This window comes from Homo sapiens, chromosome 7 (assembly GCF_000001405.40).
Source record: "Homo sapiens chromosome 7, GRCh38.p14 Primary Assembly".
NCBI lineage: Eukaryota > Metazoa > Chordata > Mammalia > Primates > Hominidae > Homo > Homo sapiens.
In genome coordinates this window covers 127,844,067-127,862,293 of record NC_000007.14, presented here as the reverse complement: position 1 = coordinate 127,862,293, position 18,227 = coordinate 127,844,067, and the positions used below count along the sequence as shown (strand labels likewise).

General features: G+C 40.5%; 1 protein-coding gene and 1 pseudogene across 2 annotated transcripts in view; one reads left to right on the top strand and one right to left on the bottom strand.

The window, feature by feature from the left end:
- Positions 1-18,227, bottom strand: part of SND1 (staphylococcal nuclease and tudor domain containing 1) — a 440,400-nt gene that overhangs the window by 230,300 nt on the left and 191,873 nt on the right. For both annotated transcript variants that reach the window (NM_014390.4, XM_017011987.3), the window contains exon 12: positions 17,870-17,970. In NM_014390.4, coding sequence (NP_055205.2) covers positions 17,870-17,970 — 101 coding nt within the window. The remainder of the gene's footprint in view (positions 1-17,869; positions 17,971-18,227) is intronic.
- LOC100196944 (CD2 cytoplasmic tail binding protein 2 pseudogene) lies at positions 3,823-4,757 on the top strand (annotated as a pseudogene).

The window sequence follows — 18,227 nt, the reverse complement described above, 5'->3', positions numbered from 1 at the left end:
TTTGTCCCTCAAAATATTCCAGTGGGTAGGGTGCTGTTAACACTTCATGCTTGGGAAATAAATTTGATTTAGAAAAGTTGTAGAATAACGACATTCTGATTCTATTTCCACAGTCCCTGCCTTTAGCAGACTAGGAAAACTGGATGCATTCTTCAGCTCCTGCTTTTGAAGCTGCCATACATTAAAAAAGTGTACTTTCCAGAAAAAGACCTCTTAGGTAGTGAAATCAAAGCTAAACTGCAGAAGGTGAGGGGAATAATGTGGGGATTACCTTCTAATCCACAACGAATACTAATGTCTTATTGCTAGACATAGTCTATCAATGTCAAAAAGTCTTCAACAAATGTGTTAAAGATGAAGCACAGTGAAAAACAAAAACCTGGCACAGGTGGACACGGCCATGCTCTGCCTATACACTCCATTCTTCCCTTGAGTTCCTGGATGTGAAAATCACGGCCTCCAGACTTCTACTTACTGTTTTAGGTTATAGCATGGAATGGTACACTAATTAAAAAACAAATAAGGCCAGGAGCGGTGGCTCACGCCTGTAATCCCAGCACTTCAGGAGGCCGAGGCGGGTGGATCACCTAAGGTCAGGATCCCTAGCCTGGCCAACATGGCGAAACCCTGTCTCTACTAAAAAATGTAAAAATTAGCTGGGTGTGGTGGTGGGCACCTGTAATCCCAGCTACTTGGGAGGCTGAGACAGGAGAATCACTTAAACCTGGGAGTCGGAGGTTGCAGTGAGCCAAGACAGCGCCACTGCATTCCAGCCTAGGCAACAGAGTGAGACTCTGTCTCAAAAAACAAAAAACAAAAACGAAACAAATGAATGACACCAGGTAGACGGGCAGAGAGCATCCCTTCAAAAGCAATGATTCTCAGCCACACTAAACACACAAACCTCAACAGTGCAAGATGAGGTATAGAAAATAGTCCCAATTCAAAGGATCCAAACCAAAATGGAAACAGGCAGTCCTGATTCTCTCTTCTCTGCCAACCCATGATACAATGATTTACATCTCTCCCTGAAAAGCAACCTTGAAGGGTTATCTAAGACCAAATGATATAATTCTTAAAATATTATGTTGTAAACATGGATGATATTCAAGATATTTAACATATGGCACTGGCTAGTTTTGTTATACCTGTGTTTACTGGCTGAATAAAAGCCCCTTTTAGAAAGGTGTGAAAGAAAACAGCTAGAGTCATAAATGGGGTTATACCTAGAAGCGCATCAGCATAAAACAGCCAATCTTCTCCAGCATATTAGTTTGGATTAAAGCCTGCCAAATAATTATACTTTGGTCATCAAAATACACATTATTAATTTCATATACGTAAGGCTATCCCCCAAAACAGAACACCATAAACTCTAGGGCTTCTTGGATATTTAATTTTGGGCTTCAGTCTTTATAAACCCACCAACTGACATTGAGCCTGAAAAATGATTATACTTGAATTTATTTCATCACCCCAAATATTTATTACTTCGAGATACACAAATATTTATTACTTGGAGATACAGTTTTGGTTAGCTAGCAATAAGAGAGGCAACAAAAGAGATTAACACCTTTTACTGCCTAAGGATTCCTTCTAGGAGGGTGTTTTAAAACAACAGTAATAATAAACAGTCGCTAGCCAGATAAAATCGATGAATTTGAAAATCAGTTACAAATAGGGTTAAAAGGAACCTTACAGGTCCAAATTCACTACACCACCATTCCACTACACCACTGCTCTCTCAGACAAGCAATTCAACTAAGGTCACATCAGTGGCTAATGGCAATCAGGCCACTGAATTAACTGGTGGAGATCACTAAGAATTAACTATTTGGGTAAAGTCTGATTACATTAATGAAGAACAAGCACCTTAAGCAGACTTTTGTAAATCCAGACTTCCAAGCAAACTAATCACTTAAAATCAAGAGCCTGGGAAGGAAGAGCTACAGGGAAAATCTACAACTAGACGTTTCAGCCAACAGGAAACTTGTGGCTTCATTGCTACTGCTTGTCTCACCCATAAACATTCCCACCACTGAAATCCCCTCTACCAAGAACCTGAGAAGGGGTTTGAAGGAATTTTACATTACCAAGAAGACACACATTAAGGAAGCATAATGTTGACAGTACTGTTTATGCCACTTTCAAAAAAGGCCAGCTAAGGGCCTTAGGAAAAGAGGTTAACTGACTTGCAAGGTCACACTTTAACCTGGAGGCAGAGCTAGAAATAACCATCTCCCCATTGGCCCCTCCACCGCTCTGCCATCATGTACATCTTCCAAACAGAGATGGTATTGAAGAAATTAACAGAGCTGTAAAAGTGATCTGAGAACATAAACATCTGTAATGTCTTTCTTATTCCTCCTATTACCTGTATCTATGCTGCAGACCTAATCTGAGAGCAGAGAAGATTGTTGGTTTTGGCCCCTCCTGTTTCCTTTAGACTCCCTTTCTCAGTGGTTAGCAATATTGGGTGCACATCAGAATCACCACTTAAAACACTAATGCCAGACCCCACACCAGACAAATAAAACAAGAACCTCTAGGGGTGAAGATTTACACTGATAAAACACCAAGCATCAGTACTTAGATTTTAATTTTGGGCATCACTATTTTTTGTAAGTGCTCCAGGTGAGTCTATCAAGTTTTATGAAAAACTACCCAGACAGAAAACTTCAGCTAATACTACTCTCCTCAAGAAATCAAGGGCCAAGAATGATGTAACACAACCTAAGGCCCCAGAATCATAAATGTGTCATATCACCTGGCCTTCCCAAAGAACACGACCCTGAGAATTCTGGGAAGGGAATAGAGCAAACTTTGGTATTATTTCAGGAACAGCAAACTCATTCCTATTGGTTCTATTTAGGTCACAGGAAGCCAACCAATCAGTTGTGGTAGCAACCAGAGAAAAGATTCCTCCTCTTTGTCTCTGCAGAATAGAACTGCCAACTGGCCATGCTGTACTTCCTAGGCAGCTGTGATGACAAGAGCCCCCTGCAAAACGTAGACATTAAGTAGGGGTGGGGAAGGGTGGCTCTCTGTGTCTCTGGGAAATAAGGATAAATAAGCTAACTTGTGGCCATTATGACAAAACCAAGCCTACATATCCATATTATTGGCTTGACATTAAACATCACTTAACAACAAAACAAAACCACCCCCCCATGCAAACACATATCCCAAGACAGAAAATTACATAATGGCATCTGGAATGATCTGCTCTGACAGTGAAAGCAGAACCAGCCAAACCAATGAGGTCTAGAAAGGTCCAAAATGGAGAGAGGCAGCCCCAGAGAGTCATTTTCACATCCCCTGTAGTTTATGTAAATGCAGGTATACATAAACAACGTTTTGTTCAGAGGAAGAAACTGAAGTAATAGTCTAGATTCTAGACGACCATCATTCTACTCAGAGAAATACCACGCCACTGCTAACTGGAAGTATAACTACGTTCTTCTACCAAATCTAATCATTCTAGATAAGAACAAATTTGTCAGAAGATACTTGTTTCAGCACATGTTGCTTTTTAGGGTAGAAGGTCAAAATAAGTTTTATTTCATATTGGTCAGAAAGGAAAAAGACGTCCAGGAAGAGGAATTCCACTACCTGTCCATTATGGTTTATGGCCTACATACTAGCCAGCTGGCATCACAGGAGCAGGAGAGTGGTGTTTTTGTTCCCTAGAGTCCATTAGCAACTGGACCAAACCCAATGTCAGTGTTGCTAAGGTCCAGATTGTGGCAGCTGCTTTAGATCTGCACTGCATAAACAAAGTACAGAACTTCTGCAGGTAAAAGCTCTAGAAATGAGACCCCACGCCAGGCCTCAGACTTGGAAGAGGAGGACAGCTTGGGCCAGACCCCAGTGAGTGCCCAAGCCTTCTTGGAGGGACTTTTGGAGCTCCTATTGCCTAGAGAGACAGTGGCTAGGGCACTGAGGCATCTGGGGGCCCGAGGAGGAGGCAAAGGGAGCAGCAAGGGGCCTGGGTGACCCAGTTCCCCGCAGTGCCCGGACCGGCTCTCCGAATTGGCCGACCAGATGGTGGCCCAGGGAAACCTTGGCATGTACCAGGAAACGAGGGAACAGTTGGCCATGCGGCTGAAGGGTTTGGGGTGCCAGGCCCTAGGGACCCCACAATCCCACACCCCCACACTCCCTAGACATGTTCGCTGAGGAAGTGGCAGAGGGGGAACTGGAGACCCCAACCCCTACCCAGAGAGGAGAAGCAGAGTTGCCAGGAGATGGTCTGGTGGATGTGATGTGGGAATATAAGTGGGAGAACCCGGGGGATGCCGAGCTGCATGGGCCCTTCACCAGCGACCAGATGCAGACCTGGGTGAGCGAAGGCTACTTTCCTGATGGTGTTTACTGCCGGAAGCTGGACCCCCTTCGTGGTCAGTTCTACAACTCCAAACGCATTGACTTTGACCTCTACACCTGAGACTGCTGGGGACCTAGTTTGGTGGGCCCTTCTTTCCTGAACTTTGTGGAGGAGGTCCAAGTGTCTCAGGCAGTGAGGAAGTTGGAGGCCATTTTTCAGTCAATTTCCCTTTCCCAATAAAAGCCTTTAGTTGTGGGGCCTTGGCTGTGCTGATGGCCAGAAGCGAGGGAACCTCTCCACAGCCCCTTTGGACTCGCCTTGGTCCCTGAGTGTTTGCTCTTATGAAAATCCTCCTTGGAGGTGCCTGTCAGGGGTCCCGTGGCCTCCCTGCCTGGACTCTGCTTGCCAAGTAAACACCCCCAACTGTGCTACGAAGAAAAAAAAAGAAACCTCACTTACAAAACTAAGTGAAAACAAAAATACATTTTTAAAAAAGTGTTCTTTGGGAGGGCGAGGCGGGCGGATCACGAGGTCAGGAGATGGAGACCATCCTGGCCAACATGGTGAAACCCCGTCTCTGCTTTAAAAAAAAAAAAAAAAAAAAAAATTAGCCGGGGGCGGTGGCGGGCGCCTGTAGTCCCAGCTGCTCGGGAGGTTGAGGCAGGAGAATGGTGTGAACCTGGGAGGCAGAGCTTGCAGTGAGCTGAGATAGGACCACTGCACTCCAGCCTGGGCGGAAGAGTGAGACTCCATCTCAAAAAAAAAAAAAAAAAAAAAAAAAAAGTGTTGACATTTTTCCTAAGAATTGGAAACCAGAATATTTTTTAACTTAATGATTCATAGTTCTAGTACAAGCAATAAATAGGTCCAGCAAAAGTTTAAGGGCTTTGAAATTCTCTCCTTCTCTTTGGAAAGGAAGGGGTATTTTTGGTTTCTTGCTTTGAAAGACAGTAAGCCACTACAAAGACTCTGTGGTTAACCTTCACTCAATGATCTGATCTTTCCACAGCTGCAGAGGGTGCTAAGTGACACAAGAAGCAATATAAACATTTCAGAGGGAAATTTCTGAAAAAGTGGTGACAGGAATAAATGAATTGTTTAGTTGCTTCTTGGTGTAAAAAAAAGAAAAGGTGATTTTGTAGTCAATGCCAAAATGATCCCTTTTTCATTGGGAAGGAAGAGGGATGGTATGAGAACTGTAATATAGTTCCCATTGCTACTGACCTAATGCGTGATGGCTTATAAACCACATTTTAAACACAATAGATAAAGCAACAGTCTGCTGAATCCCAGTTTATATGTAAGCAGATATATTAGAAAGTCAGAAGACTCCATGTAAAACCAACAATGGAAATCTGATAGAAGGCAGTCCACCTCCCTTTATGAAGCTAATGCTCTTAAACATCTCCCAATCCTACCATACATACTCACCTCCAAGATCGCAATATTTGCTAAATCCTTCCAAGTTCCTTTTGTTTCCCTGTTTAAAACACATTTTCACTAAAGGCAGAAAAATTAACTAAGGCATCACAGCAGGAAGGGCCATTCTAAAAGCTCCATGGACTATGGCTTTGAGTAAGCCTTTTCAGGTGGGGGTAGAGTAAAAACATTTCCAAAAACACTAATTTGGTAGCCCTGTGCCTTTTCATCACCTCAGATAAACAGGTAAAGTAGATAGCTAGCATACCCAGGGAAGTAGCTGGCTAGCACACCTCTTGATTTGAAAGGTATCCAATATACTGTTTTTATTAAAGAATAAATTGTGTGCCTACTAAATGGTAAATATGTGTTAAGCTTCCTGAAACATTAAGCATTACTCATGCATATCCATTACTTCTACCTGTATGCAAGTACTTATCAATCATTACTGTCTTAAGGAAACAGTATACATTCAATACTTAGGGGGAAAATGAATGCAATTGCCGTCATGAAAACTGAAAAAGTGATGTGAGGAGACTAATACAAACCAAAGTGCCTCCAATGGAACAATAAAATGCCCTAGTACCACAGAGTCCTCAACCATAATCCAATGAGGCATTTTGTTTTGTTTTGTAAATTAAACCTTGGGTAGCTACTACTTACTAAATTCATCCTTAAAAGAATCTGTTGGGTAGCAATCACATTAGTGGATGAGTTGGCCACAGGGAGTGTGATGAAGAAAAAGAGAACAGAATATAAAATCAAGTTTGAGCTTAAAGAAATAGCTGGACATGTGAGAGAGAGGTGGGAAAGAGGACAGAGAAAGATGGAAGAAACTATTAGATTTTAAAATTAGGTCAATGGTAAGCAGCTCCCCTCTGGAGGGCTTAGGGCTCACTTTAGTATTTGATTGTTATGTCTTAGTCACTATGCTAAACATTTAAAATGCAGTATCACCTATAATCCTCACAATATCCTTATGAGGTATATACTATTATCTCTAACTTACAGCTGGAAAAACAAAAATCAAAAAAACAAAAAAAACTAAGGCCCATGATTACACAGTATCTAATAGTAGAGCTGAGTTTTTTACCTCAGACCTATTTACTTCCAAACTCTACATTTAAAAAAATACCCAGGCCAGTGCAGTGGCTCATGATATAATCCCAGCACTTTGGGAGGCCAAGGTGGGAGAACTGCTTGAGCCCAGGAGTTCGAGACCAGCCTGAGCAACATGGCTAAACCTCGGTCTCTTCAAAAATTAGCCAGGTGGGGTGGCATTCAGCTGTGGTCCTAGCTACTTGGGAGGCTGAGGTGGGAGGATCACCTGAGCCCACAGAGATTGAGGCTGCAGTGAGCCATGATTGTACCACAGCACTCCAACATGGGTGACAGAGTGAGACCCTGTCTCAAAAAAAATTCCATAGAATCTTAATATCAACAATAGTTTGCCTTAGACTTCATCTCAACCTTATGCCGAGTGGTCCAAGTTTTTCTGCTTCTAAATTTTATATTCTTTAAAAAAAAAAAAAAGCACTCAGCACTCAAAAGAAGCACCCCCAAAATAGGAGCTATTATATTAGCAGGATGAAATAACAGGCAATTTCCCCTATTTTCTTTTGAAAATGTTACTACAATTTTTATTACTTTTTAAAAGATCACTCAGAATGAAAGGGAGCAAATCCCTTTTAAGCAGAATCACTACTGTGAGTTACAAAAATTTATAAAAACTCCATTCCTATTCCCCTTAACACTTAGTGCTGTGCTGACCACAGGAATTATAAAGAGAAGGGGGCTGAGAAATGGCATAGAAAAGACCCATAAGTTTTGCTTATTGGTAACCATGTCAAATGCCCCCTCTCCTTATCACATCAATGACACTATTCTAAATAAATAAATAAATAATGCTTATTAGTAACCATGTCGAATGCCCCCTTCTCCTTATCACATCATGGCACTATTCTAAATAAATAAATAAATAAATAAATAAATAAATAAATAAATAAATAGAATGCTAGTAGGAGGTCAGCAAGATCTACTGAGAACTTATGTCCAAACACCATCCTTTACAAGGTCCCCATGAAATAAGAGAAAGACAGATATGGAAAAGAATAAAGCCCTGGCCGGAGTGGTGGCTCACACCTGTAATCCCAGCACTTTGGGAGGCAAGGTAGGCAGATCACTTAAGGTCAGGAGTTCAAGACCAGCCTGGCCAACATGGCAAAACCCCATCTCTACTAAAAATGCAAAAATCAGCCAGGCGTGGTGGTGGGCATCTGTAATCCCAGCTACTTGGGAGGCTGAACTCAGCAAGAGAATCGCTTGAACCTGGGAGGCAGAGGTTGCAGTGAGCTGAGATCACACCCCTGCACTCCAGCCTGGGCAACAGAGTGAGACTGTGTCTCAAAACAAAACAAAACAGAACAAAAAACGAACAAAGCCCTAATGATGCTAGAAAACAAGAATGTGTGTTAGCAGCACATCAGAAAGTTTGCAAACCCTGAAAGGCAGAAAGCAGATGGGGTCAGACTAGTGGAGAAATAGTAGCACAAATACTAAGAAGTAAGAGCACTCCAAGGGCCTTTATCAATAAATACAAAAAACCACAGTGAGTAGGCTTTAGGGTCATCATCGGAGTAATTAATTAGAAATCACACTCAGAAAAGCATGGCCAGCCAGCCAGAATCTCCACTTCCCTGTGATGCCCACAGAGTAGCTAGGAGCAAAAGGTTTTGATACCTGGCAAAAGTACAGGCATAACTGGTATCATATATTTACCACAAAACTGCACAGAAAACCTTAAATAAAAAGGGCTTGTGAGAAAAATAGGGTTATGGGCAGATCATTCAAGTAAACCCTATGGAACTTTGAAGCCCAGGCACTAGTAAAAACAAGCCTAATAAAAATACAAGCCCAGTAAAATCTCTACCAGCAGGGCAGCATTAAACCCTGGGCCCTCATGCCTTCTCCTCTTCTAGAGGAGGTGCTAGAGGACTTTGCTTCTAACAGAGACCATTCATTAACCCACTGTTTTAATACTAAAGGATGTCTTCACAGTTCTTCCAATTACTGTTGCAGCTTGCTACCAAGCTTACCTGTAACGTGGTGGAAAGCATTAAAGTTCTCAAAGCCACAAAATAGTCACACTTACACTAAAGGAAGTTACTGTTGCAGATTTCTCAACATTAGATACTCAGATTTTTCTTTAAAAGTCTATTATCTATATACTACTAAAGCTGTCCCTTAATTTAACACGGGAAGAAGTTTAGATGGACGTGTGGCCACAGCATTTGAGACAGCTTCTGCAAAGCACATCCCAGTCAACCCCGAGCCCCCACTTGCAAAATAATCCTGGAAAATACATTAAAGCTCTCTACCAGAGAGCCTCTTTCCCTCGACAATTTCAGTGGGGTCTATAATTTGCTTGCTTCCTCTCTGCTGCAGGACCAGATACTTTTGGGCAGCCTTCAAGGAAGCCTGCCTCTGATACTACCTGCCTCCCTACTCGCTTTTGTGATGAAGCTGTCCAAGAGAAGTAGACCTACGTAACTGCAGAGAAATGCCATGCCTACCCCAAATAGTAAAGTTGTTCCTTCATAAATGCAGATGAAAGTTTACAAATATTTAAGGATTTATCAAAGAAAAGGAACAAAATAAAGGCAACATTTAATCTAAGAGGAAACAGATAATTCAGACAACAGAAGAGGGTGTTATTTCTTTTTCTTCTTTTTTTTTTTGAGACCAAGTCTCGCTCTGTCACCCAGGCTAGAGTGCAGTGGCGTGTTCTCGGCTCACTGCAACCTCCGCCTCCTGGGTTTGAGTGATTATACCACCTCAACCTCTTGAGCAGCTGGGACTATAGGCGTGCGCCACCACACCCAGCTAATTTTTGTATTTTTTAGTAGAGATCAAGTTTCACCATGTTGGGCAGGCTGGTCTTGAACTCCTGACCTCAGGTGATATGCCCGCCTCAGCCTCCCAAAGTGCTTGGATTACAGGCGTGAGCCACTGCACCCAGCTTTCTTTTTCTCCCTTTTTTCTTTTTTTTTTTTTTTTTAGAGGGAGTCTCACTTTGTCACCCAGGCTGGATGGAGTACAGTGGTGCGATCTTGGCTCACAGCAACTTCTGCCTCCAGGGTTCAAGCGATTCTCCTGCCTCAGCCTCCCAAGTAGCTGAGATTATAGGTGCCCACACCCTGCTAATTTTCCTATTTTTAGTAGAGATGGGGTTTCATCATATTGGCTAGGCTGGTCTGAACTCCTGGCCTCAAATGATCTGCCTGCCTCAGCCTCCCAAAGTGCTGGGATTACAGACGTGAGCCATCTCGCCCAGGATTATTTTTTTTATTTATTTTATTTTATTTTATTTATTTTATTTTATTTTTTTGGAGACTGAGTCTTGCTCTACCACCCAGGCTGGAGTGCAGTGGCACAATCTCAGCTCACTGCAACCTCCATCTCCAGGGTTCAAGTGATTCTCATGCCTCAGCCTTCCGAATAGCTCAGATAACAGACATGCATCACTACACTCAGCTAATTTTTTTGCATTTTTAATTGAGACAGGGGTTTCGCCATGTTGCCCAGGCTGGATTCGAACTCCTGGGCTGAAGTGATCCACCCACCTCCACCTCCTTAAGTGCTGGGATTATAGGCGTGAGCCACCGTGCCCAGCCAAGCGTGTTATTTCTTTTAGTTTTAAATGTTCTCAGAGATATTAGAGACAAATTGTATTCATAAACTAAGAATAGGGTGCTATTAAGACAGAACAATTAAAGAACAAAAATTTAAATATAAATGCTGAAAGAAAAATCAATAAAATGGGCTAGATTAAAAGAATAGTCTGTAAATTTTATAAGCATAGAAATAATTTCAGTTTTAGAATTACCAATATATTCATGATGCCTAACACAGTCCTTAGTACATACCAAGCATTCCACTAATACTTGATAAATGAACTAATGAGTGAGTGGCTAAATGAATAAGTGATATGAATAAATAAACAAGAGAGTGTGGATGAATGAAAATAAGTCAATATGCATGATTGGCCAGCTGTCTAGCTAAGCATATAACCTGAAAGATCAAGTTGAAGACATCTCCTTGAATATAGAAGAAAAAAAGCAAAGGAAGTTTTAAAATATTTAGAGAAACATTACAATGAGACATGAAGCAAAAGTTACAACATAAACAGATTTGGGGAAAAGCCTTACTCTCTCCTGGGCTCTCCATGGTACACTTTGGGAAACTGACAAGGGGGAGCTTCCCAAGGATCAGTGCAGTAAATATTCAAGTCATCCATCCACAGCTTGGCACTCAACTCAACTGACAGTATAAAAAGCAAAAAGGGGAAAAGAAGAAGCTCTCACATACTTCAGTAAAGGATTTTGCTGATTTGTAGGATTCAAGGGTGCCATTATGAAAAGCTAAATTGAACTTCCATCTAGAAATGATGGTAATAAAGTAATCTGAAACCACATTTTTAAGGAAATAAGACTTGGCAGTATGAGGTTGCCATAGATAGCCAGCCACGAAATATCTGAACAAAAGAGACAGATTTGTCTGAAACTCAACAATATTTTCCTGACTGTAATCCTGAACCCTGTGCAACAGCCAAGTTCCTTCTTATAGTGTTTTATGGGACAAGTGTCTTAAAATGATTGCTATGCTTGAGCTGGCAGAGGACAGGCCTAGTTATTCAACTACTTCTTTCTCAAGTATTGTTAACTAAATGCCACATAGGTTTCTGATGTCCTCAGAATGGATAGGCACACTTCTACTACTCAACACAGGAGAAGCAGCACAATTATATTAACCCAGCAGCCTATGATTTCCAGAAAACAATCTAAACTGCTCTTTTTGGGAAGGCGGAAGGTTTGGGTTGAGTTGGTTAGTGGTTTGTTACTGATTTAAGTGGAAAAAAACAACAACCCTCATTCTAGTGTCTTGTGTTCCTTCAAAGCAGGGCAGGAAGGGGGCTCAGCAGTTCTTTTCATTGACTATGATTAAAGCGTAAGTCATCAATCTGTGGGGAAAAAGGGTTGGCTATAATACAGACCCTACCTCCCGGCAGAGCCACTGCCATTATTAACACTGTAACCATACTTTCTCAAGTGCTGAAAAGGAACTTCAGGATGTTGTGGGCCTCTCTGGGTAAGATGACTAGGCCAGAAAAGAGCGATTCAAGAGGCTGCTTTTGCCCAAGTGTAGCTTGAAAGTCAGATATTAGTAATGTGTTTTAAGAATTGAAAACTCTGAGAGATAGGAGGTTTGGCTGACAGTGAAAAACCTCAAAGCTATACAACTGTAGTCAGAAAAGCTGGGGGCTGTATGACACTTATTCCTACTGTGACTGAGAAAAACCAAACTAGGATTAAAAAAGGATTATTCTAGCAGAGTAAGGATAAGACCTAACCTAATGGTTCAGTCACTAATAGAACAGCTGGGAGAAAAAAAGTATCCCTGCAAATTAGAACCAAAGAAAAAGCAAAAGCAAAGGCAGTCTTATTCTTTGCAAATTTAATAGTCTGGTTCATACAAATACATTAAAGGTAAGCGCTATCCACGAAGACTCTAAACAGACAGAAAGGATATTCATAAAGATGGCCTTGAAGCTGCTGCATGGGAAAGAATTATCTAAGATGTCCCGAGCCCCCACAGAACTTGGACAATACCTCTGATAGCAAGGTCTCATGCTCTGACAGCCATCAAGGCAGGTGGCAGTGGTGATGCATGCATCAAGAAAGAAGAGCAATGCAGGGAAGCAACAGAAGGAAAATATGAGAAAAATAAACAGAAAAAATAAAGTCACCTGTCTAAAAAGATGTGATCTTCTGCAGAAAATAAACAGGAATTTTCACTTGCTCACCTTTCAAGGTTCCATCTCTGTGCCATTCTTTAACTTTCACAAAATGGGCCATGTGTATTGTTTCCTATCATCCTGAAATACTTCACATAATGGGAAACAATAGGGAAGTGCCTTAGTGACTGTATCTTCTGTATATGTGACAGTTTTCCATGGATGAGGGGTGAGGTGGTGGTGAGAATGAGTGTGTGTATCTGTGTGGCTTACCCTAGTTATATTTTGTAGATGTCCCTTTCTAAATGTGAACACATTTTCTTCTAACACTTTTCTTTGAAAACGTGATATGCAGAAAGGCATAAGCAAGGAGTTAATAGATTCTAAGGGTTTGCCAAATTGGAGCTCAAAGTAATTGGGAAGTCCAGCACAGGGAAAGGTCACCTCAGAAAATCTCACTCTTCAAGAAGGCTCTGGCAAGAACGAAAGAAGGAGATTTTAATCACTGCAGCTAATTACATAGACGACTAAATCATAAGAAGAGTTATTTAAGTGTCTTAAATACAATAAAAAGTAATTAACAGGAAGCGCCATCTTGACAGCCTCATGTCACAAACCAGGCCTAAAACGATCAGCTAATTCCCAACCCAGGAACCAGAGAATGAGAAAAGACTCAAAGTTTGATCTTTTTATTTTTTATTTAAACAGTTTTGATTAACAGATAACAACTCTTGCCAACTCCACAGTGAAGTTAATCAAGAAAAAAATTTTAATCTATTAGAGGAATGATGAACCTTGTTTTCATTGATTCCCCAGGGGAAACAGATAGGAAGCTGAAGCCTATGTCACACCAGCAAGGCCCTGCCAGCATCCTGTGATGCGACTCCTTCCCATACATCGAGAGGAAAAAAGGATTAGACTAAACCCTATAGAAGATACAGACAATTCACACTCCCTGCATGTGAAATGCATCTAAACTTTGGCTTTGAAATAACCCTTTAAGAGACACCATCTCATCTGCCTCTTTCTTCTCAGTCCCCTAAAATCACTAGTTTCAGAGAAGCTCTTCTGTAGTTACAGAAGTCTGCTGTTCTCTTTAATAACAGGAAAGCCACTAGGTGCTGTGAAGGCCTAAATGTAGGTATATAAGCCGACAGATTACAACAAACATAATTTAGATAAGATTTCTTCTTAATTTCACATTTCTTCAAGACTGAACAGAGTGCACTTTTCAGAGGCTATGCAAGCCATAGAAGCTCTCTTTACTAACCCTTCCCTTAACTGACTTGCACATTCTATGTCCTCAGCATAGGGTACTGGCAGATGCCAGTGAGAGTGACTGAGAGCCACTGTACAACACCTGAGCACTTCTGTCCCAACCAGATGAGCCATTTGTTTTTGTCCCCAAATCTAGTTTAAACTGGTTGTGCTTGTTGTTTTAATTACATACTTCATTAAATATCATTGAAATACAAGCACACAAAGAGTGTGTATTTACTAAAACATTCGCATGTGTTAAGCACAGGGGCAGCTCAACCCAGTTCACCTCTATTGTTTAAGCATTGTTTAAGTTGTCTTGCAGATGCAGCAGAGCACAAATTGCAAATCATGGAGACAGGGCATGTGCAACAGAAAAAGGTTTTACTTCCTATAACACTCAGAACCAATGTTTCCTCCCTATGGAAACAAGAAGGCCAGGACAAGACCAAAACCTGAGTACCAGAATCCTTTTAGAAGTAAAGGGTCAGTTATCTAGAAAGATCTGGTGCTGAAATCCACCATTCCATACCTTATCCTAAATGGCCAAGTTTAAAGTCCTCCAGTTAAACCTACCCTCCCAGCACTTCTGCACACCAAATAACCCTCCATAACCCATAAAAGTTTGACCTAACACCCAGATTGAGAAAACAGAATTGAGTCCTGCCTCCTGTCTCCTTGCCAGTTGACCTCACAATAAAGCCCTTTCTTTTCCCAAAAACCAGTGCCATATTATTGGCATCTACGCACTTCGGGCAGTGAGCCCGTTGCTCAATAACACATGCTTTAAAAAATTTAATAAAGAGGAAAGGCTTTAAAGTAGCTGCAAAATAAATATGTGTGGGACAACTGTAACAGATGAGGGGGTGTAAATCACAAAAATATAAGGTTCTATAATTAGTGTTTTTCAAGTCCTCATTTCAAACAGGAAGTTATGTAATTCAACAAGATATCAAATAGGTGGTCCATGCTGCCCAGACAGCAAAGATTTAAAAATATGTACACATTTTTATGTTTAAAATGAAAATAAAATATTTAAGATGTAGTGTTTTTTAAAAAGCCTCTTCTCTGGCTAGTGTTTATAAATCACCATTAAGTAAGATAAAAGGCTCTTAGTAGTATAACTTAATTCTGAAAATAAGCTAAGTATTTGGAGATTCTTAATTATCAATACCTCAAATTTTCTATAATATTAATGGAGTTTTTTGTTTGTTTGTTTGTTTTTTGAGACAAAGTCTCACTCTATTGCCCAGGCTGGAGTGCAGTGGCATGATCTCGGCTCACTGCAACTCCCGCCTCCGGGGTTCAAGCAATTCTCATGCCTCAGCCTCCCAAGTAGCTAAGATTACAGGCACCTGCCACCAGACTCAGCTAATTTTTTTTTGTATTTTTAGTAGAGACGAGGTTTCACCATGTTGGTTAGGCTACTCTCAAACTCCTGATCTCAGGTGATCCAACCGCCTCGGCCTCCCAAAGTGCTGGGATTACAGGCATGAGCCATCGCGCCTGGCCAAGATTTTTTAAAATATAGAAAATTCAGAAAAAAAAAGGATAAATAAAAACAAAAGCAAGATAAAAGGAAAACAAACAGAAGCAGTGACTAAGATTAGAACACAGAAAGTGTGCAGCTAGGTCTATTTGCTAGAGATGGCCTCTCTTTGGCAGTGAGCTTCCAATCATCAAATAAAAGAATAAAATTATCTGGGAGTCTCTCTGAATCTGCTGTGATTCTGGGGGCCGCCTGATAAAGAAAAATAAAAAACAGAATAAAATTATCAGTTATAAGTTTTACAGTACTGATTAGATAAAAACAAACCTGTGGTCATGCCTTAGATGCTACTAACATCCAAGTTATGCTTCATAAAGGAAGAGTTTGCAATAAAGTTAATGAATCACTCAACAAATTCATTGATTTCCTACCATATGCTAGATACTAGGGCTACAACAGGGAATAAGACACAAAATTCCCTATCTTTAGGGACACAACAGTCTAATGAAGGATGGTTTCAGTATCAGTAAATTCCTTACATTTCTCCTGTTTGCAGCCTACCCATTTAACCACAAACTATAGTTCAGGATGAAAAACCCTATGAAGAAACTCATAATGCTTTCCAGGTACCTGCCAGGCTGGTCTAATCCAAGGAGACAATTTAAGTATCTAGAAGAGTACTTGTAAAATTCTTCTAAACTTGTACATGCTTCTAAACTTCTAAAAAAAAAATTTTACTTTGGTAAATCACAAAAAAAAGAATATTTCATACAATCCAATTACAAGAACTGGGAAGCAGAAAATTCAAGTTCATTATCTCTGGCACAAACCTGGAGTATAGATATTGTAGGTTGTCAATTAAGACCAACCAACCTGTGTTGTTAAACAGCCAACAGAATTGACACCTTCTTACAAGGACTCAAGAATGTAATAGAAACCCAGACTAGAACAGACAGCTACCCCACATTTGCAGAGAGGAAGGCTGAAAGAGTAATCTCTGTCAAAGCCAAAATAAACACAGTGGAGATCTCAAGGTTTTAAGGCACAAAGCATGGCCACAACACTCTGCCCTGTAAAGTATTTTAAATTATCTGTCTCAAATTATCTTAAAAATAAAAAGATTGCTATAAAATACTCCCTGAATATCTCATTTTAAGCAGTGTAAACTTATTTTTTAAATATTCTTCAGTGGTAACTAAAGGAGATAATCCATTCTAATAGAATGTTAAATACTGGTGGAGGCCACCTGCCAAAAATAAAGACACGTGGTTTTGTACAACAGTGAAGTTGTTTTCACCAGTACTTAAAAGCAGCAGTATCTATGGAGATGGCTTTCTGTGGCAGTAAAAATATTTAGATAGAATACTAAGATTCCAGGTCTCTACAACAGGGAAGCATACAACTGACTCCTAAGAAGTGGTAACAAATTGGTAACAAATAACTATTGTAATTTATACAGATAGAATAATGACCAAAATATGTCCTAGTTTTTCCCAGTTCAAAAATATTACTTGATTTGTCAAGAACCTGCTTCTAACAAAACCTGTGATGGCGTGAAGGTAAACATCAAATGCCTATACTGAGCGCCTCCTGGCAAAGACGAAACCTCCAATTGTTGTGTGAACATTAACAACATTAATAAATATAGGATCGGTAGCAGTGGCTAAAAATAGTCATTTCCAAATGTGAAAGCACGAATGAGGTGAAAGAGGCTCCTGTTAGGAGACTTTCATGAAGCTAAGCAGCTACAAAATGCTTATTCCTTTCAGAGGCCTGCAATAGCTTGGAGGTACTTCTCCTAAGTGGCTTCACTGTACTTTCAGTAACACAATCCTTGTTTTGATGACAAACCTATTATTTTCTTCCCCATCAATATGCCCACTTAAAAGAAATGAAAAATAACAGTTTGGTAACAACTAGCATATAAGATTGTTAAATGGAAAAGGAGACAATTACCATACTGGTATATTTTATGCAAAGTAAGAATTGCTATTGGGGACTGGCTGACTGTTGTAATATTTATTGGGGAAGCAGGGCCCAGCAGGCTTCCTCCTTCCCCTATCAGATATCTCCCCTGAAAGACTCTTCCTCAGCCTGGCTGCCAACAGACCTTGGAATCTAACCAGGTTACAGCCAGTACAGCAGAATAGGATGACCTCATCGTCTACTGATTACATACAAGAAAATGTCCAATTAACCTCTCCTCTTCTTCCCTCTTTGTTACCTGCTATTCTATACCTAGACTTCCTAAACCAATATGCAGAGACCATTTTAGACAGTATCTAGGGCCTGCTTGATACTCAATAAATGGCATTATTAATAGTAATGATGTGTACTTCATAGTGCCAGGCACACAGAGCCCAATAAATCTTAAATAACTACAATAATGAAAGTATACGATTAGCTAATGAGTGATTATAAAGTACTTACAAATATAAAGTGCTACACAGGCACAAAATTATAAACCACTGAGTTAAGAGCAGGAGAAAGCAAAGCAGAGTGAAAGGAAGGAAAGATTCAAATGAGCAAAGAACTCTTAGCTACTTGAGATGACAGCTGAGTCCATGCCAGCCAGAACACTCACATTCCTCCAATGGTGACAGTGGCACAGGTACGCTCTGAAAAGGCAGGCACTGTCTCTGTGGCTGGGCTGGCTGGTCTAATGTAGTCCACCGTCACATTGACCTGGAAACAAAGAATCAAGGGAATTAGGGTTGAGAGTCTGCAACATAGCTCACTAGCAGCCACATGTGCCTGCTCAACTGTGAAAGATCAGCTCACTCCAGTTTGGTTTTCTGAATCTAAGATTTTTAAAACCAATTAAAAGAAATAGCTGAGCAACAGACTGGGAGAAAATGTTGGCAAAAGACATAACTAATAAAGAACATTTATCTAAAATATACAAAAAACTCTTAAAACTCAACAATAATAAAACAACCTGA